General features: G+C 37.1%; 1 protein-coding gene across 53 annotated transcripts in view, besides 1 other annotated feature; it reads right to left on the bottom strand.

The window, feature by feature from the left end:
* Positions 1-26,043, bottom strand: part of MARCHF7 (membrane associated ring-CH-type finger 7) — a 58,522-nt gene that overhangs the window by 5,618 nt on the left and 26,861 nt on the right. For 20 of the 53 annotated variants that reach the window (XM_047445513.1, XM_047445508.1, NM_001282805.2 and 17 more), the window contains 7 exons: positions 22,157-22,349; positions 19,473-19,640; positions 16,507-17,605; positions 12,839-13,008; positions 6,075-6,184; positions 2,417-2,530; positions 736-784 (listed from right to left, as the gene is read on the bottom strand). In XM_047445513.1, the coding sequence (XP_047301469.1) occupies positions 736-784; positions 2,417-2,530; positions 6,075-6,184; positions 12,839-13,008; positions 16,507-17,605; positions 19,473-19,640; positions 22,157-22,349 (1,903 nt within the window). Of the gene's footprint in view, positions 1-735; positions 785-2,416; positions 2,531-6,051; positions 6,185-12,838; positions 13,009-16,506; positions 17,606-19,472; positions 19,641-22,156; positions 22,350-26,043 lie in introns of all 53 variants that reach the window. The other 33 variants (XM_047445518.1, XM_047445516.1, XM_047445517.1 and 30 more) reach the window with 12 other exon arrangements.
* Positions 3,451-3,620: an enhancer, noted in NCBI's record as "experimental_53909 CRE fragment used in MPRA reporter constructs". NCBI's record gives its function as "activates a minimal promoter by MPRAs in K562 erythroleukemia cells, with activity observed for both the introgressed and non-introgressed 2:160618386 variant alleles {active_cell/tissue: K562}" and the evidence as "EXISTENCE:reporter gene assay evidence [ECO:0000049][PMID:34662402]".

The following is a 26,043-nucleotide window of genomic DNA, read 5'->3' as shown; positions in this document are numbered from 1 at the left end:
TATGAAGCACACTGGAAGTTACAGGACATTAAGAAGAGGGTAGGCTGTATAGATGCCTGTAGAGATTTGAGAATTAAGTGCCTTCACTTATAATCCCAGCCAGAAATCCTGATGCTGGAATGTGATCTTAAGAGATTTGAGCTGTTGGCAGAGCTGGCTACCTATTAAAGGTCCATGAGGACCTACAAAAAGCCAAAAAAAAACCCACTACCACCACCACCAACAACAAAAAACCCACAAAACAAAGCCCTTCATGGCTTCTGATATGGATTCAGAATTAGGACTCCTTGTCCCATATTTTCCTGGAATCATAGGTAAGCCCAGGAATAATCTCTTATGATCTAACAAACCTGAGTAACAGGTAAAATTTCTTACCAGAAACGAAACAAAACAAAATCCTAACAGATTAAGAAATGTTGGTTTGATTAGTAGTTAAGATTTATGCCTTTTTTATTATAAATCCTGAAATCAAGGTGATCAACAATAAATTTCTCTTTGAAAAAAAAAAGTAAAATGCAGTTAAAATTACATGCTTCCATACCTTAAAATATGCTTAAAAAAAAAAACAACTAATGTCAGTTTCCCAACCCATATTTCCCAAATCAATCATTTTGGTATTACTAAGCCTATAAATGAGCTCTAATTTGGCAGAACAGAGTATATACTTAGGTTTTGCTTTGGGTTTAATTTGCAAAAGTAAATTCAACAAGTCTGGGGAGGGGAAATTCCACCTACTTTCGAGATCTTCCATATGTGCCTGAAGAGTTCTTGCAAGGTTAATAAACTAGAAACAATGCAGAAAGAAATACAGTAGTTTAAATGTTGCAAATGGATCTAAAGAGAGAATCAGTATAGGAGATTCATTTCTACTTAAAAAGTCAAACATCAGTTTAAGCCTTTAAATAGGGGTTTTTCTCCCCCTAACATCAAAAATCACAAGCTTAATGGCATTAATTTTTAAATGTTTTATATAATCTTTATAATCATGTAGAAACCAGTTTTTTAAAATTGGGAGCAGATACAATAATTTTATCCAATGATATTGTCTTCTTATAAACACTTCAAAAAATTACGAAATGGAGGAAAAAAAACAAAAAACAAAAAACCACCCTTGTATTTGGACCCAAATAAATTCAGTTTCAGTGGGCGCGCGCACACACACACACACACACACACACACACACACACACACACACAAAACTCCCAAGAACCAATATTTTCCTACCTAAATTTGATAAAAGTATACAGTTCTATACATTAAAAAAAATCCTAATGACTTCCACTTTGGAGTATCATCCAAAATTCTGTAATTTTCCACTGTAAAACTTGTTAATATGAACTTTTAAAAACACATGAATTCAGAAGTTCTTAAATGTTTTATATGGTTTATTCATCCTGAAGACTTAAGGTACCTTTTTAGAAATCATTTTACGGTATTAAGGTTTTAGGGGCTCACAATTTGTAAAGTACTTAGAAGTCAAGAGATCTTTGCTCAAATTCTGAATGCTCTTGATAGATAATATGAATGCTCTTCAATGGTAATTATCTGTTAACCAGCTCACTGGAATAATGTCCACATGATAAAATAAAGAAAAATTTTTTACTAATTTAGAAGGAGTATTACATACATTGAATTGCAGTTATTTGATAATTTTCAAAATAAAAACATTACATGAACTCTACTACACTTTTATCACCGAAGTTAACATGTAAGAAAGTTTGAAGGATATACTTATGAACACATTTCAAGACATGAAGTGTTCAGAATGCTACAATAATGGCAGATACATAGAGACCCTAGCCCTTGCTACACAAAATGGCCCAGACAGCAAAGCATAAAGTTTCCTCTGGTACACTGACACAAAGAGCATCATTTACTTATAAATACCTAACATACAGCTGGCCAAAATGTTGTATTATGGCTAATAGCACACACAGTAAACAACCAACTATTCCATATCTAAAATACTTTGTAATATGGACACTTAAAAATTAGTACACTGGTAATCTTTTGTAGAACAGTAACAAATAAATTGAAGTTAATTTCCCATACTCTTTGGCTTTTGGAGTTCAATTTCAGGTTTCTAAGTGATAATACTGAGGTTTTGTTTTAATAATAAAAAGCCCATTTTCCCTCGATGTTTCCAATTCTGTTTTTCAATGAAATACATTCCAATTACCTTTGAGAGCTAGAAAATTACTTCTTTCTCTAAAATAACTTTATGAGAAAATCAGGCTGCTTGTTATAGAAGACAGCAATTTCCATTAAATCTACGGTATCTTTATTTTTAAGAAACATTTAAAAAATAAAAGCTTCCCAAAGGAAATAAGATGTCAACATATGAAACAATCTGCTTTCCAAGGCATACACTTGCTGCATCATACCCTCCCTCTCCCCAACTTCATTATTACTTACTCGGACACGTGTGCTTGGTTCATTTGTATTTCCCATCATATCAGAAAAGCTTTGTTCGCACAAGTGCAATAACACCACTAGGTAGAGACCAGAGCTGATAAACTCATACTCAGCCTTCAACAGGGAAGCAAACAGGAGAAAAGAAAAATACAGAGAATGAAAAATTAGTAGAATTGAGATTGATACTCACAGTACACTGATAAACTAGAGGAAATGTATTCATATCCAGTTCCTAATAAGGGACACAATGCCATTTATTGAGAAAAAAAGAATATCTTTATAATTTCATAAAATTTTACTTTTTATTCTCACATAGTCTTCTTTAGTGTAATGACTTTATATAAAAATGGAACTTTTAAATAATTTGATGGTGGAATGAATGCTTTGGTTTTCTATAAAGCTCATAGATTTCATTATACAAATGGCTATAGCTATATATATTTAGTTAAAAATTACATTTCATCTATAGCTATGCCAATATACTGCTGTAACTAAAATCTATTCTGATAGCTCAAGTGTTTTTCTGTGTAATATGATGAACATAAAGGCATAAATAAAAGAATGAATTAATAAAGGTAAGAGATTAATCATTCACACAGAAATTTGTAGTTGGTAAAAACAGTTCTTCAATTCAAAACTGTTCTGTTGTGTTAACCTAAAAGGAAGAAACTGAGACGAAATTTAACAGAGTTTATTTTAGTCAAGGTTCAGGACTGCTGCCAGGCTCCCACTTCCAAGCTGCCTTGGGGAGAGTGCTCCAGAGAACAAAAGAAAGGCTCAAATTTTTAAAGAAAAAAGGACAAATCAGGAAGGGAGAGATAACAAAAGTTGTTCATTCTGAATTCTCAACATTGGTTTACAGAAATAACATTGGTTAGTGATTGGCTATACACTATTGAACTATAGGGTATATGACATTTTATAGCTACTTGGCACTAGTTAGTCTAGAGGCCCCAAAGCAAGTGGCGTATTTAGCTCAAGGGAGAGTGAGATGAGAATGCTGTTACATTTTAAATACCTCTCTGAACCTGACAATTTAAAGGGGCTCATATTCCTCAGATTAAAAGTTTCTCTTTTCCCCCCACAGTTGTTTTCAAGCCATGAATACAAATCATAAATATAGTATTATTAATAATCTAATCTGTCCTGTAATTTTTACAGTGAACTATTTACAAACTGAATTGGGCAACTGGTTCATCAGACGTTAAGAACTCTATGTTCTTAGTACCAACTTCAGCAAGTAACTGATTATCAGAGTCTACTGAGTATTCAAGAAATTTGAGGCCATGTGCGGTGGCTCACGCCTATAATCCCAGCATTTTGGGAGGCTGGAGTGGGTGGATCACTTGAGGTCAGGAGTTCAAGAACAGCCTGGCCAACACGGTGAAACCCCATCTCTACTAAAAATACAATTAGCTGGGTGTGGTGGCAGGAACCTGTAACACCAGCTACTTGGGAGGCTGAGGCAGGAGAATCGCTTGAACCCGGGAGGTGGAGGTTGCAGTTGGCCGAGATCATGCCATTGCACTCCAGCCTGGGTGACAAGAGTGAAACTCCGTCTCAAAAAAAAAAAAAAAAAAAAAAAAAGAAATGATTCACTTAATAATTATTGTTGCTTATTTTTAACTTGAAATAATATATCCAGAACATTTTTAAAAAATTTTAAACGGGGCCAGGCACGGTGGCTCACGCCTGTAATCCCAGCACTTTGGGAGGCCGAGGCGGGTGGCTCACCTGAGGTCAGGAGTTCAAGACCAGCCTGGCCAACATGGTGAAGCCCCGTCCCTACTAAAAATTCAAAAAATTAGCCTGGTGTGGAGGCGGGTGGCAATCCCACCTACTTGGGAGGCTGAGGCAAGAGAATCGCTTAAACTCAGGAGGCAGAGGTTGTCGTGAGCTGAGATTGCACCACTGCACTCCAGCCTGGGCAACAAGGAAGGCTCCATCTCAAAAAAAAAAAAAAAAATTAAATGGTTATCACCTTGCAAAAGATCAAGCCACTGGTTAATGTGGAAATAGACTTATTAAACTAATCACTTAAAATCAGTGTAGCTATCAGGCCACTAGAATCTATTATTCATACAGAACAAACAAGTTAAAACCAGAAAGTTTAATCAAGGCTGTCACTGTTTTTACAATGACTCCACCTAATATTTCCTAAAACTTCTAAAGAATATGGGTCATTAAAATGCTTAGAAAATAAAAACATTCCTGAGATCAAAAAGGAAAAGGCATGACAGAGCGAGTCAAAAACAAAAAACAAAAACAAAAACAAAAACAAAAAAGGAAAAAACTGCCTTTGAGAGACAGGATGAAGCATCTCAGGAAGGAAGATGGCAGGAGAAACAAACCTTTTGAAAGCTACTCTCATTTTGAGAAGACAAGTTATGTATTTATATTTATCTCTCCATGATTCCACTTTTCCATGTTTCCCCTGGTTTTTAAATACCAATGCTCAGCCAGCTACAGAGAACTCCCTGGGGATTTAAAACATTTCATTGCTGAAAGTGATTTTCTTTTTGGACAACTAGTGCATCAGAGAATAAAACAACATAACTGGCATTAGAGTAGCACCTGTGCTACATTAACTGCTTAATGTTTTCATTCTTTAGATCAGTGATTCTTTATCTGGATCCAAGCAATTAGCTTCAAAGGATCTGGGAATCCCTTAGAGACAGAATTTGTGTCTATATATTTTATAAGAAGGGTACATAGTTTTAATCAGATTTTCAAAGGGTATCTATTATTCCCACATTTAAAAAAAAGTGGTTCAGAAAATATCATATATTAATGTATGATTCTATTTGTATGAAATATCCAGGATAAGTAAATCCATAAAACAACACAGACTGGTAGTTGCCAGGGGCTGAGAGCACAGAATGGGGAGCAACTGTTTAATGGGTAGAGGGTTTTCTTTTGGAGTGATGAAAATGTTTTGGAACTAAACAGAGATGGCGGCTGCACAAAATGGTTTTTATGTTTTGTAAATCTCATTCAATATAATAAAAGAGGGGAGGCCCATTACCCCTACATTTAAAAAGTGTTTTTGTTTTCTGTTTTGTAGAGACCGGGTCTTGCTATGTTGCTGAGGCTGGTCTCAAACTCCTGGCCTCAAACAGTCATCCCGTCTTAGCCTCCCAAAGTGCTAGGTATAAGTGTGAGCCATTGTAGTACCTGGCCAAAAAGTGTTTTTCAAGCACTTCATGCATTCCTTTTACAGCATATCTTTGTTTGTTTTTTTTAAACAAATATGCTAACCACACTTCAACAATTTGGCTCTAAAGTCACCCTTGTAATCTCCTTAAATACACATCTGCCCCACCTCCCGAATTTTCCTTCAGTAAAGAAAAAGGAGGAAATTATTGAGCTCTTCATTCTAAACTGTATCATTTATGCATCTCAAAAAACTTACAGCTATGGGGAAATAAGGTTGGCATCCCTATTTTGGAACAACTTTCCTAAGCTTAAGGGAAAAATAAAAAAAAAAAAATTATGAAATTCTAACACCTAATGCAGTAACAGAATTATGTTAAGAACATTATCACTGTTATTATTATTATTTTAATGCAAGGTTTCTGACCATGATTTAATCTTTTCTTCAAGAGCTGTCCTTGAAGCATAGAATAGACACTTACCAAATTAGGCAAAATATACTAACTTGTTCATTTGCATGAGCTCTATGTAGTTCATGAATATCAAAATCCTCCAGGTTAAGCTCCAACTTCTCTTTACATAGTTCACAGGTGGTTACAGCTTCTAATGAAGAACCTGGTAAAAATTAAATTACAAATAAAGCTTAGTTTTATAATGTCTTCATAAAACACTTTTCCTCGTTAAGTTTTAAGCTTAAAATAAATAAAACCTTAAAGGAAAGAAGAAGAAAAGGAAATATTACATTTCTGCAGTAAACCAGTAATGTCCCCTAATACAGCAGTCTATAATATCCAATGTGCACATCAGGTCCTGCCCTATGATAATAAGCCACCACCATTATTTAGATACCTTGGTTGTTTTCTTCCTCCCAGATACTCATACATCCTTGATCATGGGAAGCAGACAGAGGCAATGGAATGTCATCTGTACTTCCTACTTCCTCCTTAAGTACTTTGACGTGATGCCATGAAAACAATGTTTAGTGATGTAACATCTCAAACACCTAGTTACACACCCAAGCCAGTATCTTTGATGTGACAACACATACCTCACATACCTAAGACCTTTTGGAGTTTAAGGAATATGTCTGCCTTACTTGCTAGAATGGGAAAAAAGGGACCCCACCCTTGTCCAAATAAAAACAGCTCCCTTCAGTCATAAAAGGAATTAGTCTTTATATATGCTGCAACATGAACTTTAAAAACATTATGCTAAATGAAATAAGACAGATACAAAAGGACAAATATTTTATGATTCTACTTACATAAAATATCTGGAATATGCAAATTCACAGAGACAGAAAGTAGACCAGAAGTTACTAGGGATTTGGCAGAGAAGGGAATAGGAAGTAAGGAGTTACTGCTTAATGGTTAGCGTTTCTGTCTGGAATGATAAACAATTTTGGAAATAGGAGTGATGGTTGCACAACACTGTGAATGGATCCAACTGTATACTTAAAAATGGTCAAAATGGCATATTTTATGTTATTTATCTACTTGTTTTTACCAAACCTTTTTTTAAAAAGAAAAAGAAAACTTCCATATTCATTCAACATTTGATTATTCCTAAGCTTTTTGGTTCCAATTTGGTAGGTAGTAGTCTTGTGTAATTAAACTTGTAGGTTCTTTCTGCCTTTTCCTTTGTTTGTTTATATTTAGAGAGGGTTTCAAATGGGAAAATGGCCTTAAAATTAGGGTAGATAGGTTTAAATTCAATTCAACTAACATTTGTTGAGTGATTGTTAGGTGCAAGCAATTAATTAGAGGTTTTGGAGATTCAAAAAAGATTAAGTAGTAGGCCCTGCCTTCAAGGAGCTCATAAAACTCTAATAACCAGTGTCAGAATTTTTTAAGAGTAAAATTTGGCATAAGGTCCAAGACAGCAGTAACTTATGTACATTTTCTAGAAAACAGCTGAAAGTGAGTGCTAATCTGAAGAAGTATGCTGTCTCAAAATGGGCTGTAGTCAAATTACACTGAGTTTTCACTATATTTTGAGTATATGAATGAAACCAAGCGTCTTTTTGGAGTCTAGCATACATGAAAATGTAATATGGACCTTGGAGATAATTTACTACAGATTCTCTTATATCTTAGGGCTTCATTTTCTTCCTCTATGGAGTAAGAGACTTATTAAGGTCATTCAAAAAGGCTACACTCAGCCGGGAGCAACCCATTTATTTCTACATGTTTTTTCTGGAGACAAGATCTCACTCTGCTGCCTAGCCTGGAGTGCAGTGGCATGATCACGGCTCGCTGCAGCCTCTAGCTCATGGGCTCAAAGGATCCTCTCACCTTGTCCTGTTGGATTACAGGCGTGAGCCACCACAGCCAGCCTACTCCTATATTTCTTAATCAGGGCTCTCTCCATTACACCCTGAATTGCATCTGCCTAAACTTGTACTAGACTTATTTTATTCATCTTTGTATATCCTGTAGACTTTAGCAATCCAAACATAGTAGCTTCTTAATAAATGCTTAAATAAATCTCTACCAGAATGAACCTTCTACCAGATGGGATCTTTGTGCAGCTCTGAGAAATACTTCTCAGATGCCTATCAGGAAAGTTCAGTTGCTGAGACCTATACATTCAATTGGCCATATCTTGAAAAGCACTTATTATAACCTTATAAAACTAACTCCAGGCCAGGTATGGTGGCTCACGCCTGTAATCCCAGCACTTTGGGAGGCTGCCGAGGCAGGCGGATCACTTGAGGCAAGGAGTTCGAGATCAGCCTGGCCAACTTGACAAAACTCCATCTCTACTAAAAATACAAAAAATTAGCCAGGGGTGGTGGTGTGCACCTATAATCCCAGCTAACTTAGGAGGCTGAGGCAGGAGAATCACTAGAACTCGGGAGGCAGAGGTTGCAGTAAGCTGAGATTGTGCCACTGCACTCCAGCCTGGTGACAGAACAAGACTCCGTCTCAAAAAACAAAAACAAACTAACTCCCATTTAATTTAATCGCATACTTACCATGTGCCTGGTACAGTGGGAAACTATGAACAATAACTCTTTTGACATTCATTAACTTTATGAGGTATTATTCAATTTTACTGAAGATGGAACTGAGGCCCAACCCTAGTCCTACTTAAGAATCTTTAAGAGTGAATCTGAATCATCTGTTTTTTTTTTTTTTTTTTTTTTTTTTTGAGACTGAGTGTCACTCTTGTCACCCAGGCTGGAGTGCAATGGGGTGATCTCGGCTCACTGCAAACTCCACCTCCTGGGTTCAAGCGATTCTCTTGCCTCAGCCTCCCGAGTAGCTGGGATTACAGGTGTGCGCCACCACACCCAGCTAATTTCTGTATTTTCAGTAGAGACGGGGTTTCACCATGTTGGCCAGGCTGGTCTTGAACTCCTGACCTCAGGTGCTCCACCTGCCTCAGCCTCCCAAAGTGCTGGGATTACAGGTGTGAGCCACCATGCCTGGCCCATCTGTATTTTTAAAAACTCCAGTGGGTGATTCTCATCAGCAGCCAGGGTTTAGAACCAATGTTAAGAAACATGCTCAAGACCCTATAGCTAGCTAAGTGTTCCAGTAAATATTCCAAACTGGGCTTGTCTAACTTCAAAAAGCCAATGTTCTTAAACAATAACCTGTATTATCTGTTTTCCTCCATATCCAGCACTAATAATTCAATTGTGTGTATCAGAAGTTGAGTCAAGTTGTTGTTGTTCATTTTGGTAATAGCTAACATTTCTGGGCCCTTAAGTGTCAAAATACTAAGCACTTTACATGTAATCTCTCATTTAGTCCTTCTAACACCTCAGGGCAGTGACTAACAAAACCTGTGAGTCACTGTAACACCATATAGCTCAGAGAAAAGGCAGTTCCAGGTGAGACAGCTTGTTCAGAGCCCTTGAGCTCAGACTAGCTTAGAAGAAAAGATACTGCTTTCTCCTCTTGTGCCCCCTAGGGGTCTACTGCTCACCACTTGACTACCACATTACTGGGAGCCTCAGGAATTTTCCCAGTATCCTCATAATCTCCAACTTGAACCCAACTCCTCCAACAGATTATGAAAATCAAAATCAGTGCCATCATACCTCACAACATAGTTGTCTATGTTACTATGCTATAATGATCAGATCTTCAATTTCACAATTATGTACATTTAAAATCTGATCTAATTTTCTACCTTACTAGTTGTTTCTATGTCCCCTGGTACTCGTGGTCTAATATCAGTAAATTCCTCTAACCACCAACCTTTCTTTTTTGAACTATCTCTTTACTTTCATGCCTGAACCACAGTGCCTCCTGACTAACGATACCTATATATATGCTTCTATAGCCATTTTATCCCCACAGTCCCTTGTAACTCAGGACCAAGAAGTGAGAGTAGTTGCCCACCCAACACACCCATTACTGTTTTCAAATCTTAATTCCCCCTTCATTCATTAATGACTTCAGCACCTGGCTCTCTACCCTTCTTTGCCAACTAAATCCTTGGTTGTTTCAACATCCAAGACCAGACCCACTGGATTATAACTTTCTCAATATCTTTGCTTCCAATATTACCCTTCCCCACCTCAGTCACCAACTCAGTTCATACCCTTGACCTCATCACAATTTGCTGCACTACCCCTAAATAGCCATTTTAAGCGTCCCCTCCTGTGTACCAATTCTTATTTTAGCCTACTTACGTCAATGTCAATAAAATCCAAAGATACTCTACCTCTTTCTCACTATACACTTCCTGAGGTCCTTACTTTCCTCCTGGTTTTAATTTCTATGGTTGCCACAATTATGTCCTTATAGATACCCTTAACTCCCTTCATCATATTTGCCTGGCAAAAGACCCACCAGCATTGAACTCTAGTCCATAGCTATATCCCAAGCATCTGAAAACTGCTTTAAAAAAATTGTACACGTACCTCACTTTAAAATCACTTTTATAGACACTAATACAATCTGGAAATCCTACTACACATCCACATCCTTAAAATGTTATTTTCCTCACACCTCAAAACCTCCTAACCTGTCTCCTTATCAGCTAAAGACCTTACCTCTAAGAAAACAGATGCAATTAACACAGGGAGTCATAAATCTTCCCATCAAAGCAACAAACTGATCAACACCCATATCAACACTAGCCTTCTGAAGAGGAAATATCCTTTCTCGTATTATAGGACAACCACTCAACTTGTGCTCTGGACCCCATCTTCTTTCTCCTCTTTTCGTACTTTTTTTTCTGTTAGAAGTCTCAAAATAAAAACATGCCTTAAAATCCCCTACCTCAAAATAAAACAAAAACACTTCTTGTGATCCCATGTAACTCTAATTCCTGTTCCCTATCTCCAGTCTCCTTGGTAGTAAATTTGTTCAAAGTATCGAACCTATGTTGCTGTCTATCCTTTCTTACCTCCTTTTCTCTACTCAGTCTAATCTAATCAGGCTTAGGAACCCACCATTCCAGAGACTGAAACCACCAAGAACATCTATGCTATCAAATCCAATTATTCTTTCTTCTCATTTTACCTGACCTCTCAGAAGTGCAGGGTTGATCACATATACCTTAAAGCATTCTTCTTTTGGCTTGCACAACACATTTTCTTGGTTTTCTTCCTTCCTAAAGGCTGCTTTTTCAAATCTCCTCTGTTCTCACTAAACATCTGGGTATCCCAGGGCTCTGTCCTGGGCCTATTTCTTTGATATCTGCTCTTCCTCTAGCTGACCTTATTTAATACCAAAACCTCAAACATTATTACTCTCGTGTTCATAACTGAAACTAACTTTCAGTGTATCTCCTGAAATGCCAGGCTTGTCTAGCTAACGGCCTACATGACATTTCCAAATGGTTATCTAATAAGTAGCTCAAATATAATGTCCAAAACAGAACACTTGGTTCCCTTTTCAGCTTCCTATTTCAGTAAAAGGAACTGCCATTCACTTAACTGCTCAAGGCAAAAATACGAGCTTCCCTAATTGTTGTTTCTCCTTCATTCCATCACATCCAATTTACTGAACTGGATGTCTTACAGAACCTACCTACAAAATATACCAGAATCTATCTATCCATTCTATCATCACGATCACACTGCTACATGTTAATCATCACCAACTCTAGCAAGTGCTCTGATAATAGACTCCTGGTTCGTCTCCCTGTACTACTCTTGTCCCCCTAAAAATCCATTCTCCACAAAGCAGCCAAATATTAATAAGATCATTTCATTCCCTTTTTCTTTAGCAGCTTCCCATCATATTTAAATCCAAGATTTGGGCCTTTAAAAGTCTTGCACGAACTAACTTCTGCTAATCTTTCTCATCTCAACTTTTTTTTTTTTTGACATGGAGTCTCGCTCTGTTGCCCAGGCTGGAGTGCAGTGGCGCAATCTCGGCTCACTGCAAGCTCCGCCTCCTGGGTTCATGCCATTCTAGCTGGGACTACAGGCGCCCGCCACCAGGTTGGCTAATTTTTTTTTATTTTTAGTAGAGATGGGGTTTCACCGTGTTAGCCAGGATGGTCTCGATCTCCTGACCTCGTGATCCGCCCGTCTCGGCCTCCCAAAGTGCTGGGATTACAGGCATGAGCCACCGCGCCCGGCCTCTCATCACAACTTTATCTCCCCTCCCCGACTAAGACTAATTATACACCAGCCACACTATGCATAATTCAGCTCCTCAAATAGACCTAAGTTGATTCCCACCCTAAAGTCTTTGAACTTGCTGTTCCCTATGCTAGAGTGCTCTTCCCCTAATTATGGAATAGCTCAGCTCTCAATTTACATGTTCTCACCTCAAAAAGGCACTTCCTTAACACCCAATATCACTACAAGAAGCAGGTGCCTTGTCTTTTTACCATCCTATAACCAACATCTAGAACTACTGTGCCTGGGCTCCATTACAGGCACTCAATGAACAAATAAATCCCCACAGTAGCCTATAATCGTAATTTGCCAAGTGACACAACAGCAACATTAGAAATAAATCTTTCTCAAGGACACACAGCTGGTAAATGGTGAGTCTATTTCCTTGATTCAAAAGGATCTTCCATGATTTAAGGGACACACTAGTGATCACAAATTACAGCTGTATTATACATGTATGAAGTAGTAAACAGTTTGGTAGGAAATGAAACATAAGACACATTACTAAAAATTTACAAAGAAACACTAATGCTCTTTAATGCTTCTGCTGAGACTTCAAAAATGATTAAGACACTTGTTAAAAGTCTAAATTCAACAATCTATAAATTTGTTAACCAAACGCATACATACATGCATCTCTTAGAAAAATTGTGAAAACACAAAAGGGTAAATCTTACCAGAGTTAATTTTGGCCTGTAACCACTTTTTCATACAGTCTTGGTGGACATACTGCAAACTTCCTGTGCACTTGCATGGCTCTATCAGCAAATTAGATGATGATGCAGCTGCCATTTGACAAATTCTACATAAGTCACCTTCTTCTTCTTCTGAGTCCTCTAAAAGGAGGCTGGAAAAGAAGGCACATTTCCCAAAGCTATCATAACTCATCCTGGTTGGTTACTTCAGTCATACATAATCACAAGCTTTCTTTTTTGTTATTTCTACTCACACTGTCTCTGGGTGGAAAAAAGCAAACAGTAACAACAACAAAACAATAACAATTATATTCATCAGCAACCCTCTGATTGAAAATGAAAAACTCTCTCATTGAGAATAAAAATTGTAACAAGTATTTTAAAGGTAAGTAAAATAGGCTAACCTATCATTTATTTTCAAATGATTTAAGTAATTTTGTCATTGGCAAATGACAGTTTAAGATCTATATTTTTCTCAATGACTTTACAAGTACCCCTAAGAGATTTTAATTTCTGTAGTATTCCAGACTACTTCAAGTCCAACAGTATAAAGGTAAGATAAACTTATCACTTTTGCCCCTTGCCTCCCCTCAAATTTTAGGGCTACTTCCATGAATTAAACACATACTGGCTTGTAGATTCTCATTTACATGTTACCAGAACCATGTTTAAACTGATAAACTTTTGTATTACAGAAAAAAATTTGAAAGAATGCTTTAAAATTCTCCATCTGCCCCCTCGGCGCAGCAATCTTATAAAAGATTCCATTAACCTACGTCCTCTATTTAACAGGCCATTGTGTACTGCTTAATATATAAATGCAGAGTAATAGTTTTATATAATAAGGTAAGTAGTTGTTAAAATTCCTACTGCGTTAGTCCACTGTTGGCATGAAACAGGTATACAGTAAATTGGTAATACAGAATGCTGAACTGTTACTGAAATACAACCTGGAATACATGGATTCCTAAATGAACTTAGCAAAAGATTTGTGAAAAGAGATGGATATACAGCCGCTAGGAGACTTTCATGCCCTGGGTTAATCAGACATAACCTCAAGCATAAATTATTTTTAAAGATTGAAAACATGGTATTTACATTTTACCTTTAACTTTCTTCCCTTCCTGGTTTCAACTATTCACTTGGTGGATTCAATTTTTCTGTACCATTTTTAATTGTAGAATGTCTTAAAATCCTTAGGTATGAGGAAAGATGTAATACAGAAATACAAACATACACACACACTCTCTCTGGCAAAATAACCAAATGCTGCTTTTTAATTAACCAGATAGAGTGGTACTGGCTCAATCATTTCTCTCTGAAGATAACTAAAGTAACGCTTTGCTCTCTGCCTACACTACTGTACTTAAATTAATCTAACCTTAAGGGCTGAAAATATGTTACTACATCCCTTAGCAGACAGCAGACAGCCTGCAATTGGAGGAAGCTGCTGTAACAAGCAAACATTAAAGCAAACACTACCAGGGTAGAGTAAATCTCTTTCTACAAAAAAGGAAAAATAGCAAGTTTAAAAGCAGGAAAATAACAGCCACATGGTAAAATCTGTCCTATAAAATGAAAAATAGGAGTATGGTAGCCCAATGCCCAACATCTCAGAAAGTGTGCAGAGTTTCCTTTATCACCAGAGTTGGATTTGAAAGTATTTTCTTATTAAAGTACAAAAAAATCTAAAAATAACAGTAACAATTATGCTTCCCAACAATTCTATTAGGCCTTTGTGAAAAAGAAAAAAAAAATCCCACAACATTAACTTTATATAAGTCTTTTCTTCCTCCAAGTGTATTTCAAATAAACTAATTTATCTCATTTTAATAACTATTTTAATACTAAGTAATTAGACTAGGATGACTAAATTAAGAGTCAGGCTGGGACTAAGATCTCTGTTTTTTTGTCTTTTCACTCTTAACAGTGATTTATAAGCAACCTTCAACTCTATAAAGATTTCTTTGTATAAAAAGATTCTATGCCCTGCATTTAAACTGTTATTTTATTTTATTTTATTTTATTTTGAGACAGAGTCTTGCTCTGTCGCCTGGTTGGAGTGCAGTGGTGCAATCTCAGCTCACTGCAACCTCCACCTCCCAGGTTCAAGCAATTCTCCTGCCTCAGCCTCCTGAGTAGCTGCGACTACAGGTGCATGCCACCACACCCAGCTAAATTTTGTATTTTTAATAGAGACAGGGTTTCAGCATGTTAGCCAGGATGGTCTCAATCTCCTGACCTTGTGATCTGCCCACCTTGGCCTCCCAAAGTGCTGGGATTACAGCGTGAACCACTGCGCCCGGCCTAAACTGGTATCTCTGTTAAATACTAATATCTAAAGAACTGGCTGGGCATGGTGGCTCATGCCTGTAATTTCAGCACTTTTGGAGGCTGAAGCATGAGGATCGCTTGAAGCCAGGAGTTTGAGACCAGCATGGGAAGCAAAGCGAGACCCTGTCTCTACAAAAAGTTTAAAGAAAGAGAATATTCAGTATATACTTGGACTTCAAACACAAAAATTATTTTGTGCATCAAATTTTATCTTGTGAATCAAAGTAAATTTTGTGCATCAAATTCCAAAAAAAGATTTGCAGTGAGAAATGTAAATAAATGGTTAATAAATCATCTTAATAAAGGCTAAGACAGATTTATTGGTAATCCATGGTCATCCAGTTCCTCTTACTAACCCCATTTAGCATTAGTCTACTAAGGAATTGGGTAAGACATTAAGGTTTTTGTCTTTGCATGTATATGTATTCCAACCCGGTTAAAATAACCTTTACTTTCTGACACAATTCACAACCGCCCCCCCCGCCCCAACCATTGCCTACCTTCAGTTATTAATTCTTATCTATTTACCTATGAATGAAACATCTTACTGGATGTAAAGGGATGAAATTTCCTGCTGGAAGTAGTGACTCATGCCTGTAATCCCAGTACTTTGAGAGGTGGAGGCAGGTGGATCATTTGAGGTCAGGAGTTCGAGACCAGCCTGGCCAATGTGGTGAAACCCTGCCTCTACTAAAAATACAAAAATTAGCCAGGTATGGTGGCAGGCGCCTGTAATCCCAGCTACTTGGGAGGCTGAGGCAGGAGAATTGCTTGAACCAGGGAGGCGGAGGTTGCAGTGAGCCAAGACTGTGCCACTGCACTCCAACCTGGGCAACAGAGACTCCATCTCAACAACAACAACAACAACAAAAAAAAACAAAAACAAAACAACCCTTCAGATTTCAATTTTATAAGAAGCCAATTTTGAAATGAAGAGTTTTAGGCTGGGCACAGTGGCTCATGCCTGTAATCCCAGCACTTTGGGAGGCCGAGGTGGGTGGATCACCTAAGGTCAGGAGTTTGAGACCAGCCTGACCAACATGGTGAAACCCCGTCCCTACTAAAATTCTAAAATTAGCCACGTGTGGTGGAGTGCACCTGTAGTCCCAGCTACTCGGGAGGCTGAAACAGGAGAACTGCTTGAACCTGGAAGGCCGAGGCTGCAGTGAGCCGAGATGGTGCCATTACACTCCAGCCTGGGTGACAGACTGAGACTCCGTCTCAAAAAAAAAAAAAAAAAAGAAAAGAAAAAAAAGAAATGAAGAGTTCTTTCTCTATTTTTGATTTATAGGCTTAAGACAGGTATTCGAATTTACCTCTCTTTTATTTTCTGCAATCTTTCTGGATCTCTTGAAGGCGCACTTTTAGTTTTATCACTTTTACCATCAGCTGAATTCCAACCTGAAGGAATAATATCTACTGTGATCATGACATTGTCGGTCAAATTACTCCCAAGTGCTGGAGGGACTGCAAACCGGAATAAGGAACCAGGAAGAATCCCTGATATTCCTGTATTTCTTCCACCTTGAGCCGAATCTGATGTAGAGCCACCTGTTGTGGCACTGCTTGATGCTGCAGATGCTTGTGGTCTGTTGGCAGCAGCTCCAAGAGGATCATTCTGTGCTTCAAGGTGAACCACTTCATTTGATTCTCTTCTAAAAATATGAGATCTAGATGATGTATCAGAGGTAGGTATCCTTGAAGATTCATCTCTTCCCTCTCGCCTCCTTCTAGAGAACAAAGGTGTGCATCTATTTCTAAGTGAGGAAGATAACCATGGTCCTGTATTTCTACCTTCAGATTCTTGGTTAAAATTTTCTGAATCTGACTCAGAGCTATGATTGTGGCTAAGAGATGACAAACCCCATCTTCGCCTAAGAAATCGAAATCCCTGAGAAGCTTCAGATGCCCTATTATCGGGAACTTCAGAAGCTGATGGTACATTACTACGGGACTGTGAAGCTGTCAAGATTCTTGGAGAAACGTAAGAATTTTCAGAATTCAATGATCTTGTATTCAAGGAATCCTGACTAGATCTTCGTGAAAAAAAAGTAGATGACATGCTAGAAGCTATGCGTGACAGCAATCTCCTCGTTGTCCGCCTACCTTCATTGTCAGAAGATTCTTGAAATGGTCTTTGAGATGAAACAACCCTTTCTGAATTGCTTATGATTGGGGCTTCATCTCTACTTGAACTGTAAGAAAATCCAGGCTGCGTATTGCTTCGGGAAGATTCTGATTCTCTTGAAGAAAAATTTGATCTTAAAGAATTTCTGGAGTCCCTAGAACTTAGTATGGTCTGATGTTCAGAAGGCAATTGGTGGTTTGTGGATGATGTATTCAACTGTAAAGTGCTCATTGAGTTTTCTTTTGGTCTTGCTCCTTGTGAATATGAAGGAACTCTGTCTTGAACATCTATTTTTGAAAGGAAGATAACCAATTACATGAAATAATTTGAGCATTATTATTTGCATTTATTATGTTGAATGCCAAAACGAAGCACTGGATTCAAACTTAATACTGTTATATTGTAACTACAGAGTTTACTATTATTATAGAAAAAACATAAATGTATTTCTCTTTCTATTCCTACTGGTAAAATCCAGTACTGCTGTGTAAAGTCAACATTACAAATATATAAAAAAGAAATGTATTATGAGCTTATGAAAATTTTATTTGATAAAATTAAAACAGCTGAATTTATTGATCAGAAATTATTTGGTATGATACAATAATATCTAGTATTTAAATTGAGACGATTTTGAACAGGCCAAATAATACAATGTAAATGACTCTTAAAATGATTAAAAGCAAATCCATCCTAGGGAGACTGTTTTGGAGATTTTTTTTTACTCTGTGCAATAAATTAAAAAGCTGTTTTAAACCCTTGTAATTTTATGAAAAATCTTGCTAATAGCTAAAAATTTTTCCAATTTTTTTTTCTTTCAGGTTAACAGCTGTGGTTCTTATCCTATAGTTCCTAGCCAATATTTAGAATTACGTGTGTTATATTTGCTAAAATACTGGCTAGGAACTATGAATCAGAATAGGGCTATGACATCTGCACTTTTCAAAGGATTCCTTAACTGGTGGTTTAAATCTTCAAATGGGATGAGAAATACTACAGGATTCCTTTGCAAAGAAACTACCCATTAACCTGTGTAAGAGCTAAATTACTACTCTGCTGATATATGGAGCTTTATGAAAGGGTAAATGTTAGGAACTAAATCTATTTCTATCCTGTACTTTTATACTCCAAAACCTAAAAGCTATTGATACTGTCTACTAAAGCTCTACCATCCAAAGCCAAGCAGATAAAATGTTTTCATTTGTCATAAATAAAGATTTCCCCCAGTAAGATAAATTAAAATAACCTAAACCTTTAAAAACAAAACATTATTTCCTACTATGTAAATCAAACTCCATTTCTGCCTACTATATTTGTCAACTTCAATTAGCACCTTTTTCTTCAGTTACTTAGTATGATAGTTTAAGGCTATGTACAATGATACAAAGTGTGGCTGTGTGCAGTGGCTCATACCTGTAATCTCAACACTTTGGGAGGCTGAGGCGGTTGGATCACCTGAGGTCAGGAGTTCAAGACCAGCCTGGCCAACATGGTGAAACCCAGTCTCTACTAAAAACACAAAATTAGCTGGGCATGGTGGCATATGCCTGTAACCCCAGCTACTTGAGAGGCTGACACAGGAGAATCGCTTGAACCCAGGAGGCGAAGGCTGCAGTGAGCTGACGTCGTGCCATTGCACCCCAGCCTGGGTAACAAGAGCAAAACTCCATCTCAGAACAAACAAACCAAAAACAAAGTGTGGGTCTTGAGGTCAATTTAATAAAACTAGAGGCACATCCATGTTATACTAAAGTAATTGCAAATTATGCCTTAAAATGGTGATTTCAACTTTCAGTTATTTCAGAAGTAGAAGAATAATCAGAAGTAGTTATTTATTAAACTACATCTGTTACAGGCAAATTCTATTTGAGGATATACGATTTAGTATGTTACTTTCTAACAGACGTTCTTAAAAGGAAAAATGCAAGTTAAACAACGTAAAGGTAGATGGAATCTAGATACTCATATTCATCGACTGTATTTTAAATTATTTTTTAAGGTCAAAACAAGTACTAGAAAAAAATATTAAGGTATTCTGAAATCTTCATAAGACAAAATATACACTTTACTCCTTTGTACTGTTGTTTTAGTAACATGCATAAAGAGGAAAATGGAACATTATGAGAAGTTATACTTGATGTAATTTATACATACATGATGAAGTTGTGAAATCACCACTTCGGTGACTATAATCCATAAGATTACTAATAGAGGAATCTGTTCTTCTCTCCAAATCTCTCCTCTCTCTCATTAAGTCTGTTCCAAATGATCCAAGTACCATTGATGAAGATCTAGGAACTTGACTATGCCTCCAAGATGAATCTTAAAATAAATGAAGAAGTTTTATTTCAGAGAAAGCTTTCAAGGCTTTGGATGATGACAATCTTCAGTAATAGAGAGGAAAGTTAGTGTTATTTATTATTATTATTATTATTTGAGACGGAGTCTCACTCTGTCACCCAGGCTGGAGTGTAGTGGCACGATCTCAGCTCACAGCAACCTCCACCTTCTGGGTTCAAGTGATTCTCCTGCCTCAGCCTCCTGAATATCTGGGACTACAAGGCGCGTGCCACCATGCCCGGCTAATTTTTGTATTTTTAGTGAAGATGGGGTTTCACCCTGTCGGCCAGGCTGGTCTCAAACTCCTGACCTCTAGTGATCCGCCCACCCCGGCCTCCCAAAGTGCTGGGATCACAGCACGAGCCACCGCACCCGGCCTTACTGTTGTTTATCATGAGAATCCCCGGTTATATAGTTGTTATCAGAAACACAATTCAGTAAAACATAAAACTATTCACAAATGAACTAATCACTTATAAAATTATTTCCTACTCTAAACATATTCTTCTCTGCCTAACATTAAAATCTACCCCATACACAATGTCAATGTCTCAATCACTTCTCACAACATCTACCTATACATTATGTAAAACGATTACAGAACAAAAATGTAAATCTTGCCAAAGATGGAGAATTTCACAAAAAAAGTCAATGAAAGTGATGCTGGAGAACTGCCAGTATCAAAATCAAAGGCATCCGGAAAGGGAAGATGTGAACAACACAATTTCATCAGAATTATTTTTACTGCTACCACAGTTGCTTGATTTTTTATTCTAGAATTCTTAATTCTAAGAATCAAAGTATTGTTACAGTTATCGTAATTTTATTAGATATGATTTAAAAGTAAATTAAACATTAAGTCTCAAACCTCTTTCCTTCACTATTTACCTTGAAATTTTGATTCTTTCTTCCCTAATCTTAGTAGCCTTAATAATTCCTCTTTATTAAGAGAAATGGCCTAGAGTATTTATAACGTTTTCACATAGCAGAAGAGAACAAAAATATCTCTGGCACAGTGGTGTTTGTCTACAAAGTTATTAACAGTCTGCTCTTAGCTATCACAACATTCTTAATATCCTTCAGATAGGCACGTCTTTCCCATGGCATTCCAGCTTATCAAAATAGACAGGAACTGCTTACACTACTTCAACTGGTAATACACAAACATTTAAAGAATTTTACCTCCAATTGTGTCACCACAAGTTTTGGCTCCTCTTAAACACTGGCACTGGCTAACATTTCATTGGAAGAGGAGTATGAGTGAGACGGTAGCCTCCTGACCTTTCAACAAAAGATCTTTTCAACGTGTGTGAAAAATATGTGTCTCAGTACATAATACCAGGCATGAAGCTTTATGGATAGACCATCCAAATCCCAGAGTGGTTAGTATCTTGCCCAATGCCACTCATCTAGTTAGAGGACTAAAACTATGACTTTCTAATCCCTTGTATAGAACTCCTACTAGGCCGGGCGCGGTGGCTCACGCCTGTAATCCCAGCGCTTTGGGAGGCCGAGGTGGGCGGATCACGAGGTCAGGAGATCGAGACCATCCCGGCTAAAAACGGTGAAACCCCGTCTCTACTAAAAATACAAAAAATTAGCCGGGCGTAGTGGCGGGCGCCTGTAGTCCCAGCTACTTGGGAGGCTGAGGCAGGAGAATGGCGTGAACCCGGGAGGCGGAGCTTGCAGTGAGCCGAGATCCCGCCACTGCACTCCAGCCTGGGCGACAGAGCGAGACTCCGTCTCCAAAAAAAAAAAAAAAAAAAAAAAAAAAAAAGAACTCCTACTAAAATAACCACCATTTTTTTGTAACTCAAGAGTTTCTGTATTTGTTTTTTGTTTAAGAAACAGAGTCTTGCTCTGTCTACCAGGCTACAGTGCATTGGCATGATCATAGCTCACCATAACCTCAAACTCCTGGGACCAAGCGATCCTCCAGCCTCAGCCCCTCAAGTGGCTGGGGACTACAGGCATGCACCACCATGCCCAGCTAATTCTCTCTTTTTTTTTTTTTGGTAGAAACAGGGTCTCACTATGTTGTCTAGGCTGGCCTTAAACTCCTGGCCTCAAGCGATCATCCTGCCTTAGCCTCCGTATTTTCTGAAAATAAATATTATGTACTACAATGTTTATCATTTATATAAGACATGCTTAAGCAATATTTTAAACATATCAGTAGATTTAGCTTTCCTTGTAACAATTACAAAATATAATAACCAAAAGAATACATACATTTACCAATTTGATTATCATAAAATACCAGCTATTCTAATTAAAATCTGCTAATGTCCTGTTTAGGATATCTATATCAATTTTACAAGAAAAATGCAGAAGAGTATCAGTTCTAGCATTAATTTAAAGTAAGATTTTGGAAATTCCACTACATTTCTGACCCACTGTCTTCATATAAAATCTACTTGCCTCATTCCAAAACTAAGAACAACTGTGTTACACCTGGAGAAAAACGGCTTAAAATACCTACAGAAACTCATTCTTACCTGATAATGTGTTTAAACCATTTCCAACATTTCTCCCAGCTGAGGTAGTACAGTTTGTACAGGAAAGTTTAGGTCTTTTTGAATCATGATCCCGTTGCTGGTTCTGCGATCTTGAGCGTGCTCCCTGAGTTATCTCAGATTCACTATACCATGCAGATTGAAATGGTGACGCAGATGCTGATGCTGATGTAGACTGTGAGTTCAAAAAAATTTTTTAAACAACAAAAGGCTGCATTCAGTACTAAATTTAACCCACAGTCCTCTAATAAATTCCCACAAGCATCAATTTTTCTACCACGTAGTTCTTTTTTTTTTTTGAGACTGAGTCTTGCTCTGTTGCCCAAGCTGGAGTGCAGTGGGGCAATCTTGGCTCACTGTAACCTTTGCCTCCAGGGTTCAAACGATTCTCCTGCCTCAGCCTCCTGAGTAGCTGGCATTACAGGTGTGTGCCACCACGCCCGGCTAATTTTTGTATTTTTAGTAGAGACAGGGTTTCACCATGTTGGTCAGGCTGGTCTCAAACTCCTGACCTCATGATCTGCCTGCCTCGGCCGCTGGGATTACAGGCACGAGCCTCTGTGCCTGGCCTCCACCATGTAGTTCTTCTTTAGTCTTTGTTCCTTCTACCCACTTGTCCATTTACTATACACTATAATTGTACTTTGCTGGGCTCTCAATCTGATGCAGAGTAAGTCCTTTTTTTTTATAAACACTTGGTTATGAAACACTGAAGACCAAAAACTGTAATCATTTTTCCTAATATTTGTTTTTTTCTTTTTGAAAATGAAATCCTTGTTGTACTGGTTTAATATTTCAGTCTTTTCAGGAACCCTGTCCACCTCTTAGAGGTAGACAGAACACTAAGCTATAAAGAAACTGTGAATTACCCTACCATGAAAATCAGATTTTTCAACTAATAACAAATTTATCCTTGTTCTGATGCCTAGTCTCCAGAATACGGTCATACAACACTAGTAACAGTATGCTAAAAAACAAAAAAAAAAAATCCTAACATCAGAAATTTCTTCATCAGTGAATCAACAACTAAAACAAGTACATATTTTAAAACATGGCTCATGGTTTTCTCTTTTAACATATATGTACACAAAATAAAGCTTGTAAACAAGTATCACTGATAATGTACAAACTATTTTACTTCTCTCCAATTCTTTAATTTGTTAAGTTCACTCACTACAATGCATTAAAAAGGCAACAGTTTGTCTCCTTAAATATTTAGGTTTAATTGACAACATATTTCAACCACAATTATTGAAATTGTACTATTCTTTTTACAAAAATGTTTCCATCATGGCAAAGTAATTATCTGGACACACACACACAGACAGGACACAGATAAACTAAGAAACACAGATTTGGCATATAATCTCTAAATGGCTCAGAGACAGTAAGGACCTCTAAAATAAAAGTAATTTTTCAGGATATAAAAGAAAAATAATTTTTTAAAGCATGTTACCATGAGTTAAGTATGTGGTAAATAGTTTATTATGCTAAAGAACATTAAAATGAAACCAAATTCTTTTAAGTGTTCTTCTGTTTAACAAAAGAGTTAAAATGGAATGCATCATGGGCCATAATTTCAGTCTACATTCATCTAAAATTCACATGATAAACATGAGAACCCAAATAATGTAGTCCATCAAAGCTCTACAGTACAGGTAACAGATAAGTAAATAAATAATTACACTATAAATAAGTACTATAATAGTAAGTACAGTGAAAGTTTTACAGAAAGACCCTAACTATGTTTGAAGGACACAGGGGAAGAGTCAAAGATGGTAACTGAAGTTCACGGGGTAGATGAATGAAAAAAGACATTACAAATAAACAACACAAAAAGACGTATAAACCATTTTACCATCAGATTTTTTTGTTGTTTTTTTTTGAGACAGCATCTCACTCTGTTGCCCAGGCTGGAGTGCAGTGGCACAATCACAGCTCACTGCTGCCTTGATCCTCCCACCTCAGTCTCCAGAGTAGCTGGGACCACAGGCACATATCATCATGGCTAGGTAATTTTTATTTTGTAGAGACAGGGTCTCACCATGTTGCCTAGCTGGTCTTGAATTCCTGGGCTCAAACAATCCTCTGCCTTAGCATCTCAAAGTGCTAGGATTACAGGTGTGAGCCACCACATCTGGCCTGGCTTTCTTCTAAGACATTACTATTTATACTTTATTTTCTATTATACTTCAATTATTAATTTTTAAATTTATTTTTTATAGAGATGGGGTCCCACTATGTTGCCCAAGCTTGTTTTGAACTCCTGGGTTCAAGTGATCCTCCTGCCTCAGCCTCCCAAACAGCTGGGATTACAGGCATGAGGCACTGCACCCAGCCAATATGGTTCAATTATGAGAAACATATTGCCTGCATTCAGGGGATGTATTAGTTCATGGTAACACTGGAAAAGAAACTTTGAAAATAAAGTAGAAGGTGTGAGGCTGAAAAGGTAGGAATGGGCTACATCAGGAATTCGCCCATCCTTTGCCTAGAGAATATTTTGTAAATTGATAATGGCATTTTTCAGCTTAGCACAAACTTAGTCTCACAAGCCTTCTGTACCTAATATTACAGACACCCAATCAATGAACTGGAGCTAGCACAAGAAATGAAATTAATTTGATATTTTAGAATCAAACCATTTCATATGCCATCATCATCAAGGTATCAGGGACCTTATCCTGCAGGCCAGTGGTTCTAAAACCTCTGGATTTCAGAGACCAAAATAAAAAAATGTTTTAATTTAAAATTGAGAAAGAACTGTCACTTTTGACCAGTAGGACATCTAAAATAGCAACTAATACCTAATCCTGTCCCCAATTTTTAAAAAAGGAATAAAGGATATAATTCAGAATGAGCACTTTAAATTGAATACATTTGTACAAACTCCATAACTTGTCATTATTTTTCTCATTTTGCACAGACTGCATAAACTTACTGAACAGCACTTCTGCAAACATGATTTTGGGAACTAATGAAGGGGGGGATAAATCAGATCTACTACTATATAGAAAGACTTTTAGAGGCATGTGGAAGACGAAATAGATGAACAGAAAGAAAACCAATTAGGAAGCCATTAGAATATCAAGAAATAAGTCCCTATGAAGTAATGGGAATAGAGGGCAATTATAAAAGATAAAAATTCATCAGATTTAGGGACAATGTGAGAAATAGAGAAAAAAGTTTTTTGGTACTGTCTACTGGTGAAATAAATGACTATGCCATTCATTAAAAATACTGATTATAGGGGAGCAGATTTAGATAATGAATTTCATTTGATTCTTGAATGCTGAAGTGTCCAAAGACTTAAAGTGACACTCACTGTTCATTAAACAATTTTCATGACTCACGACACAACATGTAGATTATATGGCTATATCCAAGACAAAAAATGTTTGTTAATATCAGCATATAGATATACATATCAGTATACATAATGTCAGTATATAGAAGGAATGTTTTGGTTAGTTTTGCTATTGGCTTGAGTTCAAAATCAAACCTTTTCCTGGTTCCTACAATCCAATTTTGTCCATATTTGTTCAAATATCCTCAGTCTGAAGCAATTGTTTTTTTCCCTCGGAATTCTTTGAACAATTAAATAAAGTGTCAGATTCATTTAACAATGTATTATCTCTTCTGCTGTCCAGAACTATAGGCCAAATGAAATCAGGGAATAAGTCTGTCTTCAAAGTATACCACATTGGGCATGACGAATCCTTAAACAAGTAGTTTTGGGGTTGTTTTCACTTATAAACAATGCCGTTATGAACAACTGTAAATTTTTGTATGGATGTATGTTTTCAATACTCTTGGGTGTAACTGATAGATCATGTAGTAACTTGATGTTTGATATTTGGGGGAATTAC

Source organism: Homo sapiens, chromosome 2, assembly GCF_000001405.40.
Source record: "Homo sapiens chromosome 2, GRCh38.p14 Primary Assembly".
Taxonomy (NCBI): Eukaryota; Metazoa; Chordata; class Mammalia; order Primates; family Hominidae; genus Homo; species Homo sapiens.
Note: the sequence above shows the minus strand (reverse complement) of the source record. Positions and strands in the feature narration are given on the sequence as shown.